Source organism: Homo sapiens, chromosome 5, assembly GCF_000001405.40.
Source record: "Homo sapiens chromosome 5, GRCh38.p14 Primary Assembly".
Taxonomy (NCBI): Eukaryota; Metazoa; Chordata; class Mammalia; order Primates; family Hominidae; genus Homo; species Homo sapiens.
Genome location: NC_000005.10, coordinates 175,340,806 through 175,363,237, shown reverse-complemented (window position 1 = coordinate 175,363,237; position 22,432 = coordinate 175,340,806). Strand labels below are relative to the sequence as shown.

Here is a 22,432-nt window from a genome sequence, read left to right as displayed (position 1 = left end):
AAGATGCTGGGAAAAAGTAAGTATAAAATAACGAGCCTTTTGCCGTATCCTGATATCATTCCTTTTTTTTTTTTTTTTTAACCAATGGCAGAGGTGCTCAATGGGGAACATGTCTTATGGTAGAACAGGCATAGCTGGTGAGAGGGGCTTCCAAGAGGTCCCTTGCAGGAATGCAGTCCCTTCCCAGCCATCCACTCTGCAGTGCCCAAAGAGCTCTCCACACCTCCATCTGATCACGTCACTTCCACCTCTACCTCTAAACACCTCCCTTCCTTTCCACCTGAGAAAGATTTGATATCATCCTGCCTCAAATAAGTAATTTTTAAAAATCTCAACTGCCTTAGAATCACCTGGGAAGCTTTTTAAAATCCCAATACCCAGGCTGGCTCCAAACCAATGAATTCCCTGCTCTGTGAAGGACTCAGGCATCGGTACTTAAACTCCACAGGTGGTTCCAATGTTCACCTAAGCCTGAGAAACACTTCATGGGTCTTTAGAAACATGGTGCCTCTTTCCTCTCCCTGGGCTGGGCTAGCTTGGAGAGGTTCTGGCTCCTGCCTTACTCTCTCGGATTCCCTTATTTTGGGGACTTCATGCTCTTACTTGCTTTCTTCATCTCCATTCAGTAAACTTCATGTGTCCACCATCCTCCCATTCCACTCAGCCCCTGGGGATGGATAACTCCTGTGATTTTTATCCACCGCAACTTTTCCATGCAGCCCTTCCTCAGGATGCTGCCTCTCAGAAGAAGCACAGCCCAGAGCCCTGGGTGGGAGGGGCAAGGCTTGTAGGAGTTGGCTGCTTTCTCAGCTTCCCCATGGGTTAGGAGCGCTGATCTGCACCTTTGCACAGTGGGTGAGTTCTGCCTCTGAGCTCCTGCAATGCGTTGTCCACTCCACCTTCACAACACTGACCGTGCCCCACTGTCATTGCCGTTTTTACATGCCTGGTCAGTTTTGGAGGAATCGCTTCAACTTTGAGGAAGACCATGTCTGATTCCTTCTGTTTCTTCCAGCACAAAGCCAGGAACGCAGTGATGTTCACTAAAGTTTTCAGTAACAGCCTAGATGCTTGGCCTAATCCTCATCAGCCTCATTATTCTGGGTCCTGGATGCTGCTTCCTATGCCCCTGGTTCCCAGCTCATGTGACCAAAAGAGCCACATGCTGGTCCCCGGAGCCCCAGCTGCTTCAGCTCCTCCTAGTCTTGCCTCCTCATGACTTTGGATGCTGCTTTCTGTAACCTAAAAAGGCTACACTCGTGAATTCCTTCCATGATGGTCCTGCTTTCCATCTCATTCTCACCCTCTTCCTTCTCTTTTTCCTCTTCCCCATGCCCCAAGCCCTTGGGGACCCAGCAAGACTGACAGATAAATTTGTTTCTTTAATACTATTTAACTGACTATAAGAACTGTGTCCTTCCCTCACTTTCTCTCACTTCTTCTACCTTGCAGGAAATCATTGTCTGCTGTATGTAAATGAATAGATTCCAAAGTAGCATGCAAAGTGTGGTAAGAGAGGTCTGTATAAGAAGCTTCAGGAAGTAACAGAAAGCGGCACCTGCCTCAGTGGATGTGTGTGTGGGTGAAGTTCACAAAGGGATGGCACTCCAGCAGGGTTTTGAAGGATGAAGAGGAGTTCATCAGTAGCTAAAGGAGGAAGTGCTTGCTAGCAGGAGGGCACAGGTTAGGCAACAGCATACCTACTTAGAGGGGCTGCAGGCAATTACATCCTTGTTTGATTTCGTTCTGGGTTCCCTTTCATTCAAAAATCATCTCTGCCCTTGAATTTTATAGAAAAAAACTACTAAGATGGAGGATTTATAATGAAAATCTTATTATCTCTTTCCCCAGGAGCCAGTGGCCAAGCAATTATAGTTTAGGCAGAAGGCTTTACTTAAACTATCATCTGATGAACTTTCAGAAGGGAACATTTTAGGAAAATATAACACAGATTTTTCAAGTTAACTTCTACTTAGTTTTTACCTTAATCTTGGTATAGAAGAAGGGATTCTTTGTTCTAAGAAAAAAACATTCATAGGCCTTGGAGTTGGCTTTTACCGGTGCTCAGCCTTTGGGGTGTGCAGCAACTGCAACAACCACTTATTCTTCTATGATACAGCAGCCACCACAGGAATGGCAGAGCCAAAAACTGAATCCACATGTCCCCCAGAGACCAAGGATCAATCTGAGATCCAGGTACAGGGATGGATGGACAGAACTCTGGGAATGACCACATGTGACGGATAATGGAGGAGGGCCCAGGATGACTTCCAGTCTTGCATGATGGAGGGTCGGAGAGGGTGTGGGGCTGTTCACCGGAGTGGGTCCCCAGAGCACAGTGATGACAGGCTGGAGAGGAAGGCTTGGAAGCAGGCAGAACGTAAGGATTTCTGAAAACGAAGAAGCAGGAGGCACGATGACTTCTCACAAAAGAATCTTCTGGGCTGGGAGCTGCTGCTGGGAGATAAGGATAGTATAATAGTATTCTTTGGTTACAAACGGTAGCAAAAACTATATACCTACCCTGGAAAGATAACAGATTTCAGTGTGAGAGACCAACAATTGGCCCACTACACTCCAAACCTTAGGCCAAAGGGAATGTATTGGGAGGTTCTTGGGGAAGTTCCCCCAACACTGGCCGTTGCTATTTCAGGGAGGGTTGGAACCCAGCCTGAGGTCTCCTCCCTTCTCTTCCCACCTATGGCCCCATCTAGTCTCCCAAAGGGCCTTGCACACTTCCATGTGGATACACCAGCCAATATGTCTATGCTCTGTTTTGACGTTCCATCAATGGCCACTTCTTGGATGTCCCTTGTGCTAGGGGTGTGCATACCACAGGTATAGATCCCCCTTGGAAGCATGGAAATAGGGAAGAGGTCCCGGAAGCCCTGGAAGTGGACTTGAGCTGTTTGGGCAGGACTTCCAGATTATGGCTTTAGATACCCAGGGCATGGTGTAGAAGTATGGAAGAGGTGCAGTCAGTTAGGCATGTGGCCTCCTTACTCTGTATGGAGAACCATGGCAACAGTAAAGCCACGTAGTCTTCCAAAGTGCAGGGCCCAGGGTATGGGCCCCTCTTGCCAGAGTCTAAGAGAATACTACTTGCAGCTGCACTCACCAATGTGGTAACCATTAACTACATGGAGCTATACACCTTGAAATTAATTAAAATTAAGTAACATTTAAGATTCACTTCCTCAGTTGCATTAGCCACATTCCAAGAGCTCCATAGCATGTGTGGCTCATGGCTTTTGCACAGGACAGCACAGAGGTAGGACATTTCCATTATCACTGAAAGTTCTGCTGGACAGCACTGGTCTGGAGGCTGGAGAAGTTGAGTGATGTGCCCAGCGTCACATAGCTAGATAGGTCTGGAGCTGAAACTTGAACTTAAGTCTCTCTGATTCTAAATCCTATATTCATTTTTCTTCCCTGACCTTGAAAAAAATCAAATTTATCCCTCCCAGTGCTTCTTAATCTGTAAAACAAAAATAAAATCCTCAAAGGGCTGCAATGAGGATTAAATGAGATCATGTCTATAAAATGCTCACAACAGAGTAGACTGCAGGTTCTCAGTAAACTTTATTTCCTTCTCCAGCCTCAGCAGGGACTGGAAAAAGCAGCAAAAGGATTAAGAAGCTCTTTCTACTTCAGATACTCAGAATAAGAGAAAAGTGGCTTGAAAACTGGATGAAAGACACTCCCTGGTAAACATTTCAGTGATGTTACATCTACATTGGAAAGACAACTAGTTATGATGTAAGATACCAAGGATTAGCTAATTAAACTCCAAAGCCAGCCTTTTTGTTTGAAAGATAAGAATAATTTCATGCAACGGGGACTTAAAAAAAAAAAGGTGTGGGGAGTATATTCATTCTCTGATTATTTATAACTGAGAGACAGGAAGAATCCATTAGACATTAAAGCTCCACACTTAATAGCTAGATCCGTTTTCTTATAAATGCTGCTTTCAGGATTAAAAAAGGCATGTTTCTGAAGATGTGTCATCTTGGAGTGCAAAGCTTCGGCCCTGGACTAACTGTGAGGATGCTGGTCAAAGCCCTCATGTTCCTGCTCTGTGTGCTTGAGGAGTCCCCTGTCCTCTTTGGGCTCACTGTCCTCTCTGGGAATAGAGGGTTGAGTAAGAAGGGTCTAGTGGTCTTTCATCTTTAATGACACAGATTCTATAAAGAACTAGAATAATCTTTAAGAACAATCATTTAAAAAATTAAAAGTAGCCTGCTTTATGTTTGATACGTGACCAGGGCTTAAGCATGTATAAGAAAGCTCCCTTCTGGAGGGGGAGGTTTTTGCAGCATTTGTTGGTAAAGCTGTGAGGGGTAGATTTTCATTTTCCTCCACTATTCGTCACATCATTGATGAAGAAAAATTAGACTGCCATACAATAGAATTCACTCTTCTAGAGTAAAAGAAAATGCAAGAGTCCTTCATTGACAGGAGTTTTCTAATACGCCTCTTGTTAAAGCTATTTATTTATTTGTTCATTCACTGATTCAACAAATATTTCTTGAGACCTAATGATATGTACCAGGCAGTTTTCTGGGGATGCAAGGGTGAGCAAAGTAGACACAGCCCTGGGAAGACAGGGCATCAAGAAAACGGGTAAATATGTGATATGTCAGGTGGTCATGAGTGTACTAGCAAAAAGTAAATTCAAGGTGAGTAGATAAAGTCTGATGCGGTGGAGGAGGCTGATATCTAGATCGAAAGATCAAGGAAGACTTCTTCGAGGAGGTGACATTTGAGCAGATTCCTGCATGAAATGGGTAAGTGGGTCTGGGGACAATCTGGTGCAAGGATGTTCCAGGTAGTGGGGGACAGTGAAAACAAAAGCCCAAGGTGGGAAAAGGCTTCACAGGTTTAATAACAGAAGGGCAGAAGTGCCTAGAACGAAGTGTGGAGAGGTGAGCAGGTCAGAGCATGGAGAAGGGGAAGGAGGTAAGGCCAGAGAGATGGCCAGGGACTAACTCCATCAGGGGTCAGCACACTGACCTTTGAGCCAAATCCAGCCTGATGACTCTGTTTTTAAATAAAGTTTTATTGGAACACAGCCACACCCATTCATTTACTATTGTCTATAGCTGCTCTTTGTACTATGGCAGGAAGTGAATAGCTACAACAAAGACTTACAGCTTGCAAAGCCTAAAATATTTATGATCAGGCCCTTAACAGAGAAAATTTTGTCTCTAGCTTAGATGATTATTTGACTGGTGTATCTTGCACCCTATCCCTATGTTTTCAACCTGGCTGTGCCATTTTAATATCTTATAAAACAGAATATTGCTAGCCTTTGTCTTATCCAACATGACCATCTCTGTGTTATTAACAACAATTTTAATCTTTTGACATACAGTGTGTTTGTATTTTTGAATCTATTTCTACCATGCTGTATCTTACTTTCCATTCTCTATCCTCTTTCTCACTGCTTGTCTTTCTTTCTTAATTCACTCCATTCGTTTCTATTGAACACATTTTTATGATTCACTTTTCCCTTTCAAATCAAATGTAAATAAAATCTATATATTGTAATAGGTTGACTTTGCAAATATTTTTCCTGACTGAGTCATGTGATAAGTCCCTCAGTGGTAATTGTTGGTGTTTGCTTGATTTGTTTTTCTACATAGTTATCACCATTTCAAGCTTAAACTGTTTGCCGGTTCACTAAATCTCCTCTCAAGATGTTTTCTCGAATCACATTGTCTATGGGTTTCATCTTCTTGAGTGGGTCTATTATTCTGCCTCTTCCACTGGCTCACAGTGCCCTCCTGCCATCTCCGTCTGCCATCCTCTAGGGGTTCTCCACTTCTCTTCTGTTTCCTGCACCGTGTCTTCCTCTTTCTGGGCTTGCTGTCTCCTTTGGAAACAGCACACTGTCAAGCAGCTCCCTGAGAAAGGGTGCACAGGAGTGCTGTGTCCTTGCATTTCTGAAAATATCCTTAATCTGTATTCATACCTGATTAGCAACTTGTCTGACTCTAGAATTCTACACCAGAATTTATTTTTCTTTAGAATTTTGAAGGCATTCACCATCATGTCCTAGCTTGCAGCTGGAAAGTCCAAAGCCATTCTTAAACCTGATCTTTTGGATGTGACAATTTCCTGACTGAAAACCTGAGAGATGTATTTTTCCCCAGTGTTCTGAAATTTCACCATTATGTGCTTTAGTGCTAGGTTTGACCATAAGGTGGGTTCTCTCAGTCCGGACTCTTCTGTTTGTCTGGAAAATATTCTTGAATTATTTTCATAAAGATTTGCTCCCTTTTATTCTCTCTCTCTCTCTCTTTTCCTTTCTTTTCTGGGGTTCTTATGATTTGAACATTGGATTTCTGGATGCCTCTTTTTAAAAAAGAAAATTCTTTTTGGTCTCATTTGGGGGGTCTTGAGGGGGTTCCTCAACTCTGTCTGCCAACCCTTCTATTGAGTTTCTAATTTCTGCTTTTCCCAAGATCTTTTTATTCTGTTTCTTTTTATAGCATCTAATTTCCATATCTTTTCGTGTGTTTTTGAGGATACTGGTGATGGCGATTGGCACGGAGATCTTCCACAGCAAGGGCGCCTGGCGCTTAGGGAACAAAACACCTGATGTGGGGGTGTGGAGGAGGGGAGCTGGGGAGGCGGAGACTTTGGGAGGGAGGTGTGAGAAAGAAAGGGAGAAGACGCAGGGGCTAGGAGGCACGGATTTTGGTGAGTAAAAAAAAAATTTAAAGGAAACTTGCTTGCTTTTGTGCCAACAGTTTCCCCTTTGTGCGCTCCTTAAGAGACGTTGGCAGACAGATCTGTCTCCTCTGCAAGACCTTTGTAAGGGTACTTGTATTTCTTTCAGGTGGGACCCAACGCTGAGGCGCCTTTAGGGCAGCCTGTCTTATAAATTCAGATTGTGGCCAGGCGTGGTGGCTCACCTTTGTAATCCTAGCATTTTGGGAGGCCAAGGCCGGTGGATCAACTGAGGTCAGGAGTTCGAGACCAGCCTGGCCAACACGGTGAAATCCCGTCTTTACTAAAAATAACAAAAATTAGCCGGGTGTGGTGGTGGGTGCCTGTGATCCCAGCTACTCCGGAGGCTGAGGCAGGAGAATCACTTGAACCTGGGAGGTGGAGGTTGCAGTGAGCCAAGATCATGTCACTGCACTCCAGCCTGGGCAACAAGAGCAAAACTCCATCTCAAAAAAGAAAAAAAAAATTCAGATTGCACCCAGTTCCTTCGGGAATCTGATTTCACTTGGGACCTCCAATAGGAAGTTACTCTTCCCTGTGAAGGGGGTGGAGCACGACCCTCCTTGTTAGGCCCAAGTAGAGTTTTGCACGTTGGACGGTAAATAACATATAGGTCCAGATAGCAGAGTAGCCATTTCTAGGCCATCACTAAATAGCACAAGACATTTCTCAGAAGGCCTTGGAGTTAGCAAAGCTCCCTAGGGAGGGAGAGGAGATAGTTGTTCTTGAAGGAATTCTGGGCATGGGCAATAGCAGAGAGGACTGAGTGCTAAGGGACATGGCAGGAGAAAGCCGCAGGTCTCAGAGTGGATGGGTTATAGGCAGGCAGAGCACGGGGGCACACCTGAGCATTCAAGAAGCAAACAAGGCTGGGCGCGGTGGCTCACGCCTGTAATCCCAGCACTTTGGGAGGCCAAGGTGGGTGGATCACAAGGTCAGGAGATCGGGACCATTTTGGCTAACACGGTGAAATTCTGTCTCTACTAAAAACACAAAAAATTAGCTGGGTGTGGCGGCACGCACCTGTAGTCCCAGCTACTCCGGAGACTGAGTCAGGAGAATCCCTTGAACCTGGGAGACGGAGATTGCAGTGAGCTGAGATCATACCACTGCACTCCAGCCTGGCAACAGAGCAAGACTCCATCTCAAAAAAAAAAAAAAAAAAAAAAAGCAGCAGACACCCCTGGGGCCTGAGCGGATCTGAACAGAAACAATCCCCAGCCTCATCTGTCTGTAAGATTCCACCAATCACTTACTAAGAAGAAAAAGGAAATTCTACTACGTGGAATTGTGCTGTGAAGGGTTAGTAGTTACTATTTACGGTTAGTCCCAGGCATATCCTCTTTCTTAGAGCCGTCGCACAGATGGCTGGCTGCTGCCCGAGAAAGAAATCAGAAACTCTAGATACTGTTTGCTTGTGTACATGGCCCACCCTCTTCACACTCAGTTCACAGTGTGGATGCAATGCTTGTGCTAGTTCACTGCCTTCATAAAACCTTGCGCTAAAGAGCTCACCTGCAAAACAGTATGTACGGTATGGTCTTTTAGAAACTTTTCTCTACATATACTCAGAAATATTTGCATAGTAAAAAATGGTAGAAGGCACAGTGTAAAAATGTGCACAGTATTATTTTGATCAGTGAAGTTATATATACATGGTTTAAAAATTTTCTTTTAGCATATCTGCATTTTCTGAATGTTCTGATATGCAGATGGTTATTTCAGCAATAGTAATGGCTGTAGTCACACCTGCTGACGTTTGGTGTAGATACTGTGTGGGGTACCCCACGGCCTTTCTCCCCTTTCTTTCTCACAGCATTCATCATAGCGGAGACTTCCATCATGCCCTCCCGCAGATGAGGAAACCCATTCACATGCCTCAGCTCATGCAGAATTGGGGTCTTCCTAACTTCGAAGCTCATATTTTGTTAAGTTTTGTTTTTCTTTTTATCTTCCTGAAATATTTCCTAAGGAAATGCTATACAGTGGAAGATGTTCACTGCCGGCTTTTTACCACCCTCTAATGATGCTGTGTGTTCTAAAATGACAATTTTATAAGAAATATGTCTGCACATAGCACAGCATGGAAGGAATTTGCAAAACAAATGATCCTTTCAGGTTGGGCACAATATAAAGCATATATATATATATATTTTTTTTTTTCTTTTGACTTTTCCTATGCCCTTTGATGTGATGGATGTTTTAGTCCTAGAATAAGAAATGTGATTTTACAAAATGATCTCTCTCAAAAGCCAGTGTCTCCTTGGCATGTCAGCAAAATGCAAAATCCCTAGCATTTTAAAACAAAAATATGACAGGCTGTTCTGGCAGTACTTGGAGCCCAGAGCTACAATCTCAGGTTTTGAACAGTGAGTAAGGAAAATGCTATTCAGACTTGGGAGCTCTGATGAGATTATCTTCCCCATATCACCAGGACTCTGACACATGCCTGCTATCCCAGCTCTCCAGGACCTAAAAGGTCAGTCTTGCTCGTGTCCGCAGCAGGCTTTGCTGTGGAATTGTCAGTGTTTTCATTTGTCTTTCTAGTATAACTTCATAACTTACAAGACTTTAGAAAAATGAGACTGGCTTTTTTTTTTTTTTTTTTTTTTTAAAGGCTGTTGCCCAGGCTGGAGTGCGGTGGGGTGATCATAGCTCACTACAGCCTGTAACTCCTGGGCTCAAGGGATCCTCCCACCTCAGCCTCCTAGGTAGCTGGGACTACCGTTCCACACCACCACTCCTGGCTAATTTTTAATTTTAATTTTTTTTTTTTTTTGTAGAGATGGAGGTCTCCCTGTGTTGCCAGGGTCTCACATTCCTGGCCTCAAGTGATCCTCCCTTCTCGGCCTCCCAAAGAGCAGGGATTACAGGCATCTCGAGGATGGCCTTCTTAAGAATCATTCTCTTAGACCATTTAAATTCTTTCTCTGGAAAGATTTTTGGGCCTTTTTGACCAGGTTATATTTCATACCAGAAAGAGATGCACATGACCTTAAGAAGAATATTTCTGTTCCACTGTTAAGAGGTGCAACAAGTTGGGTGGCATATCCCAGACCCTTGCTGCCTTCATAGCTTACCAGCTGTTCCCTTCATCAATGCATTCTCTACTACATGTTCCAGAGTGAGTTTTCTAGGGAAGTAACAACCCTCATCAGATGGATCCCATGTCCTACGTCACCCACTGGCTTCCCAGTCCTCCCAGGGCAAAATCCAGCCCCATCAGCATGGCCTCCAAGACCCTCTGCTCCAGCTTCTATGCCAACCTCATTGCAGCAAACACCCCTTCCCAATCACCTACATTCCAGCCATTCAAAGCTGCTTGTTTCCCCATGAGTCTGCCGTGCACTCTGAAGCTCTCTGCCTTTGCCTATGTTCCCAGTGCTTAGGATGCCAGCGTGACCCCTTATCCACCGCAAAAACTCACTGAAATTCTAAGTTAAGTTCAAATGCAGCCACCTCTAGGAAGCTTTTCTTCCCCTCTATTCTCTCCCTCCACTGGCCCACTTCACTCTCCCATTGAATTATGTCCTCCCGCCCTCCAGGCTGTGATGTACTCTGCAAATCCCTCCAGAGTGGTTCTTGGCATGCTGTGTTGTGATTGTGACAGTGTAGTGTTCATAGCATGAAGTTTGAAGTCAGATAGACCTGGGTTGGGATTCTAGATTCCCCACCTGTCACCTGTGTGACTTTGGGCAGGTTATTGTACTCTTGCAGAGTTAGTTTCCTGTCTTTGAACTGAGAAATAATGGAAACTCCTCTCAAGGTTGTGAAGATCCAATAAGGTCATGCATGACAGTACAGATGTGGTACCTGGAATATGGAAGCTGTCAACACACGGGAGCTGCTGTCCTTATTTCTGTCATTGGTTGCCTCTGTGCCTGCCTCCCTTCTGGACCAGGAGACCCTGAAAAGTGATTCATTTCTGTAATGTAAATGCCCATGACAGGGCGTGGCCCAGAGAGTTGGTGCTTAGAAAACATTCCAGATTGCTCAAGGCAAAGCCCCAGTGGAGTGTTACCATACTTGCTGAATAATGTAAAATCAATATTCTAATCACAGCGTAAATTGGTACAGGTCCACAGCGCCATCCCTAACACCAGAGCTTGGCTGCAGATCCCAGTAGGAGCCCACATTTACAATGCTAAATCCATTTCCCCCACTACGCCTGGTAGGCTCCTTTGCAAATTATATGCCTCAAAGATTAGAAATAGTACTTGCATTTCAGCCCAAATTCACATTTTACTTTCAAATGCTCCTTGATTCATCTAGTTCCCAAAAGTGGTCATTGTTCTCTCAGAATTCCCTCATATTCAGGAAATTGAGCAGAAATGAAAACATAGGCAGGAATAGCAGAGGTAATTTTCTGGTTTAGTGGAAGACTTCTGTCAATGGCATGGTGCTTGGGCCTTTGGAGAGACTCTCTTCATGGAGTCCTGGAGCCTGGGTGGGAAGGCTTCATTCTCAGCATCCCAGCTCTGCCCTCACTGGCTGCGAGGTTTTGGTTCAGCCACCCTGAACCTCCTGAGCCCCTGTCTCTGCCTGTGTGTGGAACTGTGCCTCCCCTCGCTGAGCAAACTGTCGGGCACAGAGTAGGTGCTCAATTAGTGAAATATTATTAATGGTAATTTCTAATAGGATGATCTCAGTGGGAACTTGGAGCCAGTTTGCCCCCGGCTATGGCTGCTTAAGTGACCTGGTAAGATCTGTCTCATTGCCAGACATTTGTCAAAGAACTGACCCTTGCAGAGAACTGACCCCCCAGAGGGTGGGCAAAGTTATTGCCTAGCCTGAAGTAATTAGAGGGCAGTGAGGCTTTTAAGTAGATGGGACAGCCAGATATCTACTACTTCATCTGCCCCAGACCAGCTGCCTGGTAGTTAAGTCTGGATTCTAGCAAGAGAATGCAGGTGCTCTAGTGAAAAAAAGGAGATGGAGCTATCACAGCCAATGATGGACCTTGGGGCCCAGGCAGCTCTAGGTAGGCTCCCCTTCCCATGCAAAGAGGAGACAGAGCCATTCTTCTACTCCACTTTGCCATGCGTTCCTGCACCTCTTGACCCAGAGCATGTTTGGGATGCCTTTAGAGAGCCAGCAGCCTGACCTGGCCAGTGAGGAAGGCGCTGCTCCAGAGCAGAGGGATCCCAGAGAGCTGCAGTGACAGAGCCAGCAGCTGGCCTGGGCCCAACGCCATGTTTAGAAGAGCAGCAGTGATGCCAGTGTTCCTGCTGCAGTTACCCGGAAGTGGCGTGGGAGCGGGGAAAGGTCACCCAACAAGCAAGCAGAGCAATGGGACAGCCCCAGTGGGAACCTCTGGGTCCCGCCAATTGCCTTTATGGCTGCTATGTGCTGGCAAGCCAAGGAGGACTATGGGGCAGGCGGTAGGGGAATTCCTGGGTTCAGCAGAGCATATGGAGACTGGCAGCCTGTTATATGGAGCATATGGAGGAGCAGAGTGCTGCTTAGTGGAGAAATGGACCTAAGGCTTCAGAGGATGATTTTTCAAGATGGAACTGGGGAGTTTAGTGGAATAATGGAGAGGCTACCGAGTTGGCAGGAATAGAGCTAGAACATGAACACAAGGGGGAGTCCTCTGGGGCCTTCTGGAAATACCTGGGGTAGGGACTTAGCTGGGGCTGGTTGTCACCAGTCAGGCATGGGGGGTGGGGGGCGGTGAGACGGTGCAGCTGGAATGAGTACTGTTCTCAGTGGCCTCATTTATACTCCCAGGCACGCGGGGCTTAAGGAAATTTGGTTGTATGATATTACACTGCACTTGCAAATGTAAGAAATTGTTGACAATAATAAAAACAAGAAGGGGATTTACTCTACTCAATGCCCAGAGTTCCCTCTTGCATTTAGATGTGATGAATCTGAGAAGAATTTTCCTTTGAATATTGGTAGAACTTCGCATTCAAAAACGTGTTCAATTTCCCTCACGATTAATTATGATAATTGTTCTCTCCTTGTTGTCATGCTCTGCTAACTATGAAATGATGAGATTAGATTACAATTTGCATATATTAGCCTTGAAATAAAGTTTTTTTCCCCTTGTTCTGGCCCTCTTTTTAGGCTTAGCAATAGGAGAATCCCTCCCCGTATGCCCTGTCTCCTGACCCAGGTGCAGGTGGTGAGAAGGGAGTGATGGAGAGATTCACAGACAAGGTGACTTCAGCTGGGTTTTGGAGGCTTGGCGCTCAAGAGAGATGGCGTCAGGTGGAAGAGACAAATGACTCTGCATGGGGAAGCCATGGAAGCTGGCAGAATGGCCCAGACTGTGTGTGTTGGGGTCCCCAGCAGAGAGAGCTGCTGAGGGAGGGATGTGAGCATTGAGAGTTGAGGGCAGAGAGGTGGGCTGAGACTCGATTGTGGAAATGCTGAGCCAACCCGTACCCATTTTCAGAGTGCCTCTGCCCCTTGCCCACTCCAGTGCACTATTGGAAGCTTTGGCTTCCTTGAATCTCTTCTTTGTGCTGCTGCAAGCCCAGGACACCCTCGTGCCCCTGCCTCCAACATCACCTCTGCACTTTTTATGACCTCTTTTGGCTCAACCTTCAAGCTGCTTAGCTGGGGGGTAAGAAAATAATTTTGATTACCTGATGAAGTCAGTGCTGCGGGCTGGGGCTGTTGGAGAGGCAGTGCCATCCTCGGATCCATCACAGATTGGGAGCCAGGGCCCGATGCATGTACTGACGTGTGGCTTCAGGTAAGTCATTCATCCTCTCAGAGCTTCCTTTGCTCATCTGCAAAGTGGGCCTAGTAATAGCTACTTGCCTGGCTGCCTGAGGATGATGAGCATCCCTCGTGCTCTGTCTCTTGGCAGAAAACAGGGTATATGGGAGAGACCTTGCAATGCAGTGTCTCAGCAGACACTGAGCTCATCAGACAGAAAATCACCATGTGGTGGACAAATCTGACAAAAGCGTTGCTGTTTTACCAGCTGCTGTGTTCTGCATCAACTACTGGAGGGATCGGGGAATAATCCATCTGAAGCAGAGCTGCCCTTTTGGTGGAAAGACACCTGCATAGGCTTTTGGGGAGTGCGGGTGAGACTAGACTGCTCTGGGGATGAAGAAGCAGCAGCGCTGAACCTTAACTGGCTTTGGGCTTTCTCAGGGAGCAGGTGAGGGCCAAGGGCAGACAGCTGTAGCCAAGTGGCTGTGTAATTAACAGCACGAGGAAGAGGCTTGGCTCTGAGTAGAAGACCCTGGAAAAGTGGCAGCAGGCCAGGCTGTGGAGAGAGATGGCTGTGGGGCTTGCACTTTGGCTTTAGAGTCTTGGTTCCTAATATTGAAGTTCAAATGTTGATTTTCTGGAGAAAAACATATGCTTATAAATCCATAGACTAACTCTGGGAAGATGCATAAGGAACTTAAAAGCAGTCATTCCTTTTGGGGTAGGAAATTGGAGTGTAAGGAGGCTTCACTCTTTAACCATATATACTGTTTTGTATGCTAATCAAATAAATAATCTAAGATATAAATTCTATGGTTTTGCTTTGGAATTTGCCTGTGACATCCTCAAGTCTTGAGTAGAGACTGAAAGTGCAGCAGCCTTGTCTTGGTGCATTGTCCCACATAAGAAGGAGGGGCTGGGTTCTCCACACCTGGGAGAAGGGGCCACCATGCGTCTGGCGCAGAGGGGAGAAGTGGGGAGATGTGCTTCTGGGTGAGAATAAGTGGTGATCATTCCCTGCGAACCCTGAGAAGTGGTTGAGAGGAGCCTGGCTTTCCTGTGGTCCAATAGGATGGGGACTTGGGTTACTTTGCTTGGTAGTTATGGAAAAGGTAATCCCAGACAGCTTTGAGGACTTGGCAGCTCTCAAGCTGAAGCAGATTCCAGTGTGTGAAATGAAGAAAAGATTGAGGACACTGGCTCAAAGACAGGCATCTTCTCTTTAAAATCTTGCGTCACCCTCACTTCCACTTTATGAGATGAGTATTCTTATTCCCGTTTTAGGGATGAGTAAACTGCATCTTAGAAGTGAAACGATTTGCTCAAGGTTAACAGACCTGACTGCAGATTCAAAATGCTTTCCAGCACCTCACAGCAGCTTCTCAGTAGGAGGGGAAGGAGAGGAAGAGGGAAGAGGAGATGGAGATTCAGAGAAGAAAATAGAGGGGACTTAGACCATTGAGACACTGGCTCATTATGCTGGTGGGCTTGAACCCTTAATGGACACCTCCAAAGTCCCTGATCTAGCTTCCAAATTCAGAGTGTAGTACCTTTGAAAAGAAGCCTGCTTTGAAAGGTGGTGGGGAGTCTCTTTAGAAGTGCATATTTGCAGAAGGCTGAGGGAGTAGGGCAGATAAGGAAGGGCTGTGGGCTGAATTATTTAGGGACTGTCTCAGAACCGTCTCTCTAATATGCTCACAGTGGCTGCAGTTGCTTTCTCTAACAACACCAGTGGAGTCACTCTCTGCTGTCCTGGTTTGAACTTTTTATGTGGTAAGGAGAACAACATCTAAGCAAATCTGGCTTAGAAAACAAATCTGGATTAGCCAGGCATGGTGGCTCATGCCTATAATCCCAGCACTTTGGGAGGCTGAGGCAGGAGGATTGCTTGAGCCCAGGAGTTCAAGACCAGCCTGGGCAATAGTGCAAAACCCATTTCTACAAAAAGCAAACAAACAAACAAACAAACAAACAAACAAACAAACAAACTAGCCAGCTGTGATGGCGCATGCCTGTAGTCCCAGCTACTCTACTCGGGAGGCTGAGGTGGCAGGATCGATTGAGCCTGGGAGGTCAAGGCTGCAGTAATCCATGATCACGCTACTGCAATCCAGCCTGGGCAACAGAAAAAGTTCCTGTCTGAAAAATAAATAAAATAAAATAAAATAAAATAAAATAAAATGCACTGGGTCATTTGGCTAAACAGTCCAGGGGCAACTAGTTTCCCAGATGGTGAGATCTGAGGCTCACCTGAAGCACGCGTCTGAGGATGCTCTGCTTGTCAGTACTATTCCTGGAGAGAGTAGAGTTAGGCAGACTTTTTCCCAGTCGTGGATGCCAGAATGGTGGTCAAAAGTTCCTGGATCAGCATCCTTCTTCATTAATATCCAGCAGGAAAAAGAGAGAGTTTCTCCTTAGTTCCCTTGGATGAAGCATAAACTTTTCCTTTTTCTTTAAAAGCTTCAGCTTCTCATTGACTCATCGGATCGAATTAGTAACCTGCTCAGCAGGGTCCACTTGGGAAGCTTATTTACGTTTCATTTAATTTATACCTAATGACTCAGAGGGGAGGGGAAGTGAATTCTCTAGTGGTTTATTTAAATTCTTTGTGATGCCCAAAGAGTGGCTGAAAAGCAGAGAAGGGCGGGCAAGAAGAGAAGATAGATGTGCTTTCCTGGGGGTCAGTCTACCCATGGGTGGCCTGCCACTGTCCTCTGTCAGCAAGGCATGGGAACAAAGACAAGCTCTGAATGGGAGTCCCTCCTGATGCAGCAGCCGAGCCAGAGACATGATTCCTTAGGAAGGGCTCTGATGGATGTTTGGAGGGTGTCCTGGTATTGGTGGATGAGGCATGCTGTCTATCTGAATGCTTTATCCCCCACCATCAGTTTTTGATTATGAAAAATTTAAAACATATAGAAATTTGCATATTGCAGTGATCACCTTATACAGTGATCACCTTATACACCTAAAATTTTAAAAATTTTAATTTTTAAAAATTAAGATTTAAAAAAATGTATATGAACTACTTGGAAGCCAGTTGCAAATACCAGGACACTTTTTCCATCAAGGCTTCCTCATGGATCTCCTAAAAATGACATCCCCTCCATAATCATGACATAGTTATCACACCTGGACAATTAACACTCATTCTCTAATAGCATCTAATATCCAGAGTCAATTATTCCCCCAAAGTCTTTTTCGCTGTGTTTTATTTGAACCAGGATGCAGTCCGTGTTGATGCCTTTATTCTGTAGTCTCTTTTATTTTAGACCATTACCCGCACTTTAAAAAAATGACACTGACGGTTTTGAAGAGACCATCTGTTTCCTCATTCCAATCTATTCCTCATTTTTCTCATAAATTTGAGATTAAATATAAAGGCTTAATAATTAGATAGATTCAAATTAAACCTTTTTGCAAGATGATTTCACTGGCAATGCTATGATCTTCATATCATGCCACTGCCCCAGCTATCAGGTCATTAATGTGGTGCAGGCAGTGCTAGTCAGAGCTCTTCCTGGTAAAGGTGCTTCTTCTTCTTTGAATTTGTTAAGTGCCTCTGGAGTGACTCTTGGAAACAGAAGCGTTGGCCTGTCCCCAAGCAACCTTCACCTAATAGTTTTAATATTTAATGACGAAACTTCCCTGAAGCAATGATTTCATTAGAAATTGTTGGATGATGGTTTTTCTTCCTTTTTTTTTTAAATTATACTTTAAGTTCTGGGATACGTGTGCAGAATGTGCAGGTTTGTGACATAGGTATACACGTGCCATGGTGGTTTGCTGCACCCATCAATCCGTCATCTACATTAGGTATTTGTCCTAATGCTGTCCCTCCTTTAGCCCCCCACCCCCGACAGGCCCCGGTGTGTGATGTTCCCCTTCCTGTGTCCATGTGTTCTCATTGTTCAACTCCTGCTTATGAGTTAGAACATGAGTTGTTTGGCTTTCTGTTCTTGTGATAGTTTGCTGGGAATGATGGTTTCCAGCTTCATCCATGTCCCTGCAAAGGGCATGAACTCATCCTTTTTTATGGCTGCATAGTATTCCCTGGTGTATATGCCATTTCTTTATCCAGTCTAAAGATGATGGTTTTTCTTTTTTTCTTTCTTCTTTTTTTTTTTTTTTTTTTTTTTTTGAGATGGAGTCTTGCTGTGTTGCCCAGCCTGGAGTGCAGTGGCGCAGTCTTGGCTCTCTGCAAGCTCCACCTCCTGGGTTCACGCCATTCTCCTGCCTTAGCCTCCCGAGTAGCTGGGGCTACAGGCGCCCACCATCACACCCAGCTAATTTTTTTGTATTTTTATTAGAGACAGGGTTAGCCAGGATGGTCTCGATCTCCTGATCTCATGAGCTGCCCGCCTCGGCCTCCCAAAGGGTTTTTCTGATTCTATCATCTTGGGTTATTTTAGAGTGGGGATGTCTCTGCTTCCAGAGCTGGAACCAGGGAGGCATAGGAAACTTAGAATGAATGCTGTCCACCCACCACCCTGAATCTTCTTTGACCCCAGTCACCCTGCGGGTGTTGGTTTGGACACCACTTTGTCTAACAGGCCTTCTCTGACCACCATAGTCTACATTAGGTATCCCTATTAGTCTCTGCTATTGTACTTATCACAGTTTATAAGGATATTCTATTTGAAGTTTAGCTGCTTAATCTCACTGGACTGCACAGGCTGTATCTATTTTATTTACCATTGTTTATCCAGCATCAAGCTCAGAGCCTGGCATAGTAGGTGCTCAATAAACATATTTTGCTGGTTGTAGCTAGTCAAACACAGACTATGAGGTCATATAGGACTTAGCTCAAGTCCTGGCTTGACCAGTTTTGGGCAATCATTTGACATCTCTGAATTTCAGAGAGCTTAACAGCTTATTTGAGAATCAAAGGAAATAATATATGGAAAATATTTGTCTGCAGAGGAGAGTTCCCTTTCCTTCCTTCTCCAGCTACTGAAGCCTACATTTTTGCAAGACCCTTTGCAGTCTCAATCCAACTTGTCTTATTAGCCTCCTCCCTTCCCACCTCCTTCCCCCCACTCCTGCCTGTATTCCAAAAATGCAAGATTATTTACTGGGCAGTAAAGGAAGTTTGCCCAAAGAGATGCATCTGGCCTTTGGTCTCCTGGGAGGTGATTAAGTGTTTGGAATTTCCTGCCTGATAAGACTATCTTTGTTTGCCTGAGGGTTTTGAACCATACCAGATAGACCACACTAATAATGTAATTTACAGTAGGGGCTTTGGATCATGCAATATCAGCTCTACCTCTGGAGGAGTTGGAGACTAAGCTCAGGCATGTCGGTGACCAAAAATGTCTTTATGACTAAGTTCCAAACTCCGAACATCAAGACTTGGCTGAGCTTCCCCGGCTGGCAATTCCCCATGTGTATTGTGGCACATCATTTCTGGGAGAAGTAGGCACTGTCCACGTGACCCCACTGGGAGAGGAAAGTGGGAGGTAGTTCTTGGAACTCTCTTGGACCCTGCCCAATGCACCTCTTCCCTTGGCTTATTTTAATCTCTATCCTTTTACTGAAACAAACCACAACCATAAGCACAATAGCTTTTAATGAATTCTCTGAGGCCATCTAGCAAATTACTGAACCTGGGTTTGGAGCTAGGGACCCCTCAGAATTGTAGTTGGTGTCAGAAGTGGGAATGCTCTTGGGGACTCCTGCACTTTACATCACTTTCCATGTTATTTTCCACCCCCATGTGGCTGTGTACACTGTTTCCCCTTCCTGGAACGCCCTCACCCTCTTCATCCATCCTAATGCCTTTATCCATCCATCAGAACTACTCAGCCATCCTTCTCCATCCCTCTCAAGCCTTCATGGACTTTCCACACCCAGGGTAGAGTGGCTCTTTGCTGCCCAGGTGAATGTGATTGCATTTACCAAGTAGAAATAGAGAAATTATTAATGAATTTGCCCTTCTCCCCTCCTAGTCTAGATACTCTTCCCAAGTAGGGCCCAGGCTTGCTTTCCTTCCCTCTGTTCCTTTCCTTCAAGTGTGAGTCTATCCAGAGCCTCTGCTAACCCTTAGGAGGCCATCGCATACCAGGAAATGTGTCCTTTTTGAGCATCCCATAGCATGGCTTAGTCGCTGAAGTGTAGGCTACATTTCAGTCCTCACTTGCTCACTCAGCTGGACGTTCTCCTGCAATGTGCACTCTGCATGGCATACACAGCTATCCTGCATGCATTCTTGCATTAATTTATATTCACATATGCATTTGCACATTCCTACACTCAATACTCCCTGCAACAATGCCTACTTTAAGAACACAATGATGCCTATGACGTATCCCTCATCTATGCATCCCAGAGCCTGGCACTATGCCTTGTGCTGAGTAAGGGCTTTAATGAATATATGAATAAATGAATAATTAAATGAATGACTCAAATTAGTGCAACTATTGCAGATACTGTGGATCCACCAAGAATGTACATTTAGACTTCCTCCAAGAACAGTGATTCTGAAGCTTATCTTTGTCAGGGCCTCTTTGGAACTCTGATGAAACCTCTAACCAGTCTCCTTCTGGCAAAATGTACATTGACATACTCTGTATAAGTCAGGATATCATAGGATCTTCTGAGGTAATAAACAGCTCTGAAATCTTATTGGCTTAACACTGCAGAATTCTGCTTTTTCCTGAAGTTGATGCTCCATGCAGGATGGCAGGGACTTTCTGCTCCATATAGACATTCAGGGCCCCAGGTTGTTGGAGTTTTCACCACCTTAAAACACTGGGTCTACTCAGTTACTGTGAAGGGCTACAAAAATGTTGGAGGATTGTTAAATAGCTCTTCAAAGATTTGGTGCAGAAGTGGCACACATTACTTCCATTCTTAGCCCATTGAACAGACCTAATCCCATGGTCCTAACTAATTTCAAGGTCACTGGGGCAGATGTATTGTTTGATGAGTTCCATTGCCTCTTACACACACACATACACACAATTTCAAGGTGATCCATGGATCTTTTAGGGGACCCCATGTTTAAAAGCGGTCAAGGGTCAAGCTATGAAGTGTCTTGAATGCCATGCTAATATTTATATTTATATAAGTCAGGATTTTATATTAGAAGCCAGGATTCACCAGTTAAAGTCCTGCAGTGCTGGACAGTGGCACAGCAGACTAAGCACAGATTGTGCCTTCAGGGTATAAGCAACAAGGTCTGGATGGTGCAAGGGCCATCTATGAGTGGGGGAAGCATCTCCTCTCTGCTCAAATCAATTTTTTGCCCTGTGAGAAGTGGATTCAGTATTTTCACATCTTCTAATTATTCAAGAGGAATCAGAAATCCAGATTTTAATTTAAATCTCCCAATATATAAAATATTGGCTCATTTAAAACAAAAACACCCTGCTGGCCCATGGAAGCCTATTGATGAGCTAGATATGGCATGTGGGCTTCTGGAAGTTTCTGACTTCTGTTAGGAGGGAAACTTTTCCTCCCTCCAGCCCAAGCACTTGACCCACATGCACTCCCTCAGCCTGACCTGTATCTGGGGAGGCAGACCCATACTGTTCAGCTGGTGTTTAAAAAATTCATGCTCATTATTTCTCTCCAGAGCACTGGAAATTATACTTTGCTTCCTTAGAGTTTTTGGTGAAGTCTCTTTAGCCCTGAGCTTACCAGGTTTGCACTGGAAGCCAGTGGGCCATAAGTAAAGCTTGACTTTATTAGCTCATGAGAAGAACCAATCCTCTCTCTTGCCATTTTCATGTCTCCCTTGGGCCTATTGACCAACCAAGGTTGATTAATATGTAGGCAACAGAGAGTGGAACGTACAAATAAAATGGAAGATCAAGCTATTTACAGTTCTTCTGGAGAGAGCAAGTTGCCGAGATTGTCTGCCTGCACCAGCTTCTAATTTGGACACGTTTTATGGGGATGGAGATGGTCATGGTGGGGAGGGGGCTTCCTGCCTGCCAGGCACAAGGCATGAGCTATGCTCATTACCTTCTTTATGTGTTTGCGACTTCATACAGCTTTCAAGGTGCTTTGACATAAATCTTCTCATTTACTTCTCATAGCCAGCAAATGAAGCAGCTGTTATCACCCTTTCCCCAGATGAAGTAATGAAAGTTTAGAAAGGCAATGGTGCCCTCTGCTCCAGTTTCTAGGATGTGACACAGCCAAGTGAAGTGACTTCTCATGAGTGTTTCCTAAAACTATAGGATTTGACATGACATTTCCACAATACAGGCTATTTCCATGAGCCATGTGTATTACTGTGCACGAAATAATTTTTTTCTGAGACAGGGTCTTGCTCTGTCACCCAGGCTGGAGTGCAGTGGAGCGATCACAGCTTACTGCAGCCTCGACTTCCTGGGCTCAAGTTATCCTTCTGCCTCAGCCTCCTGAGTAGCTGGGACTAGAGGCACATGTCACCACGCCTGCCTCTTTTGTTTATTTTTATTTTTTAGAGACAGGATAATGTAGTTTAGATGCTGCCTCCTCTAAATATCATGTTGAATTGTAATCCCAAATGTTGGAGGTGGGGCTTGGTGGGAGGTATTGGATCATGGAGATGGATCCCTCATGAATGGTTTTACACCATCCCCTTGGTGCTATTCTCACAAGAGTGAGTGAGTTCTTCTGAGATCTGGTTGTTTACAAGTGGATGGCACCTCTCCCACCTAGCCCCTACATCCATGTGACACGCTGGCACTCCGCCCAACTTCCACCATGATTATAAGCTCCGTGAGGCCTCACCAGAAGCAGTTCTTGGTGCCATGCTTCCTGTACAGCCTGTAGAACTGTAAGCCAATTAAACCTCTTTTCTTTATAAATTACCCAGCCTCAGGTATTTATAGAGATGTAAGAGTGGCCTAATACATCGGGTCTTGCTACGTTGCCCAGGCGGGTCTCAGACTCCTGGGCTCAAGTAATCCTCCTGCCTTGGCCCCTCAAAGTGCTAGAATTAGGTGCAAGCCTAATCCAGGTGCAAGTCACCACACCTGGACTTAAATAACTTAAAAAAGTAGACTTCATATCACTCCCATTTATATTT

At 45.0% G+C, this 22,432-nt stretch overlaps 1 annotated feature.

Moving 5' to 3' along the window:
- Positions 203-704: an enhancer, noted in NCBI's record as "NANOG hESC enhancer chr5:174789537-174790038 (GRCh37/hg19 assembly coordinates)". NCBI's record gives its function as "activates a minimal SCP1, AML or CMV promoter by ChIP-STARR-seq in primed H9 embryonic stem cells {active_cell/tissue: H9 hESC(primed)}" and the evidence as "EXISTENCE:reporter gene assay evidence [ECO:0000049][PMID:30033119]".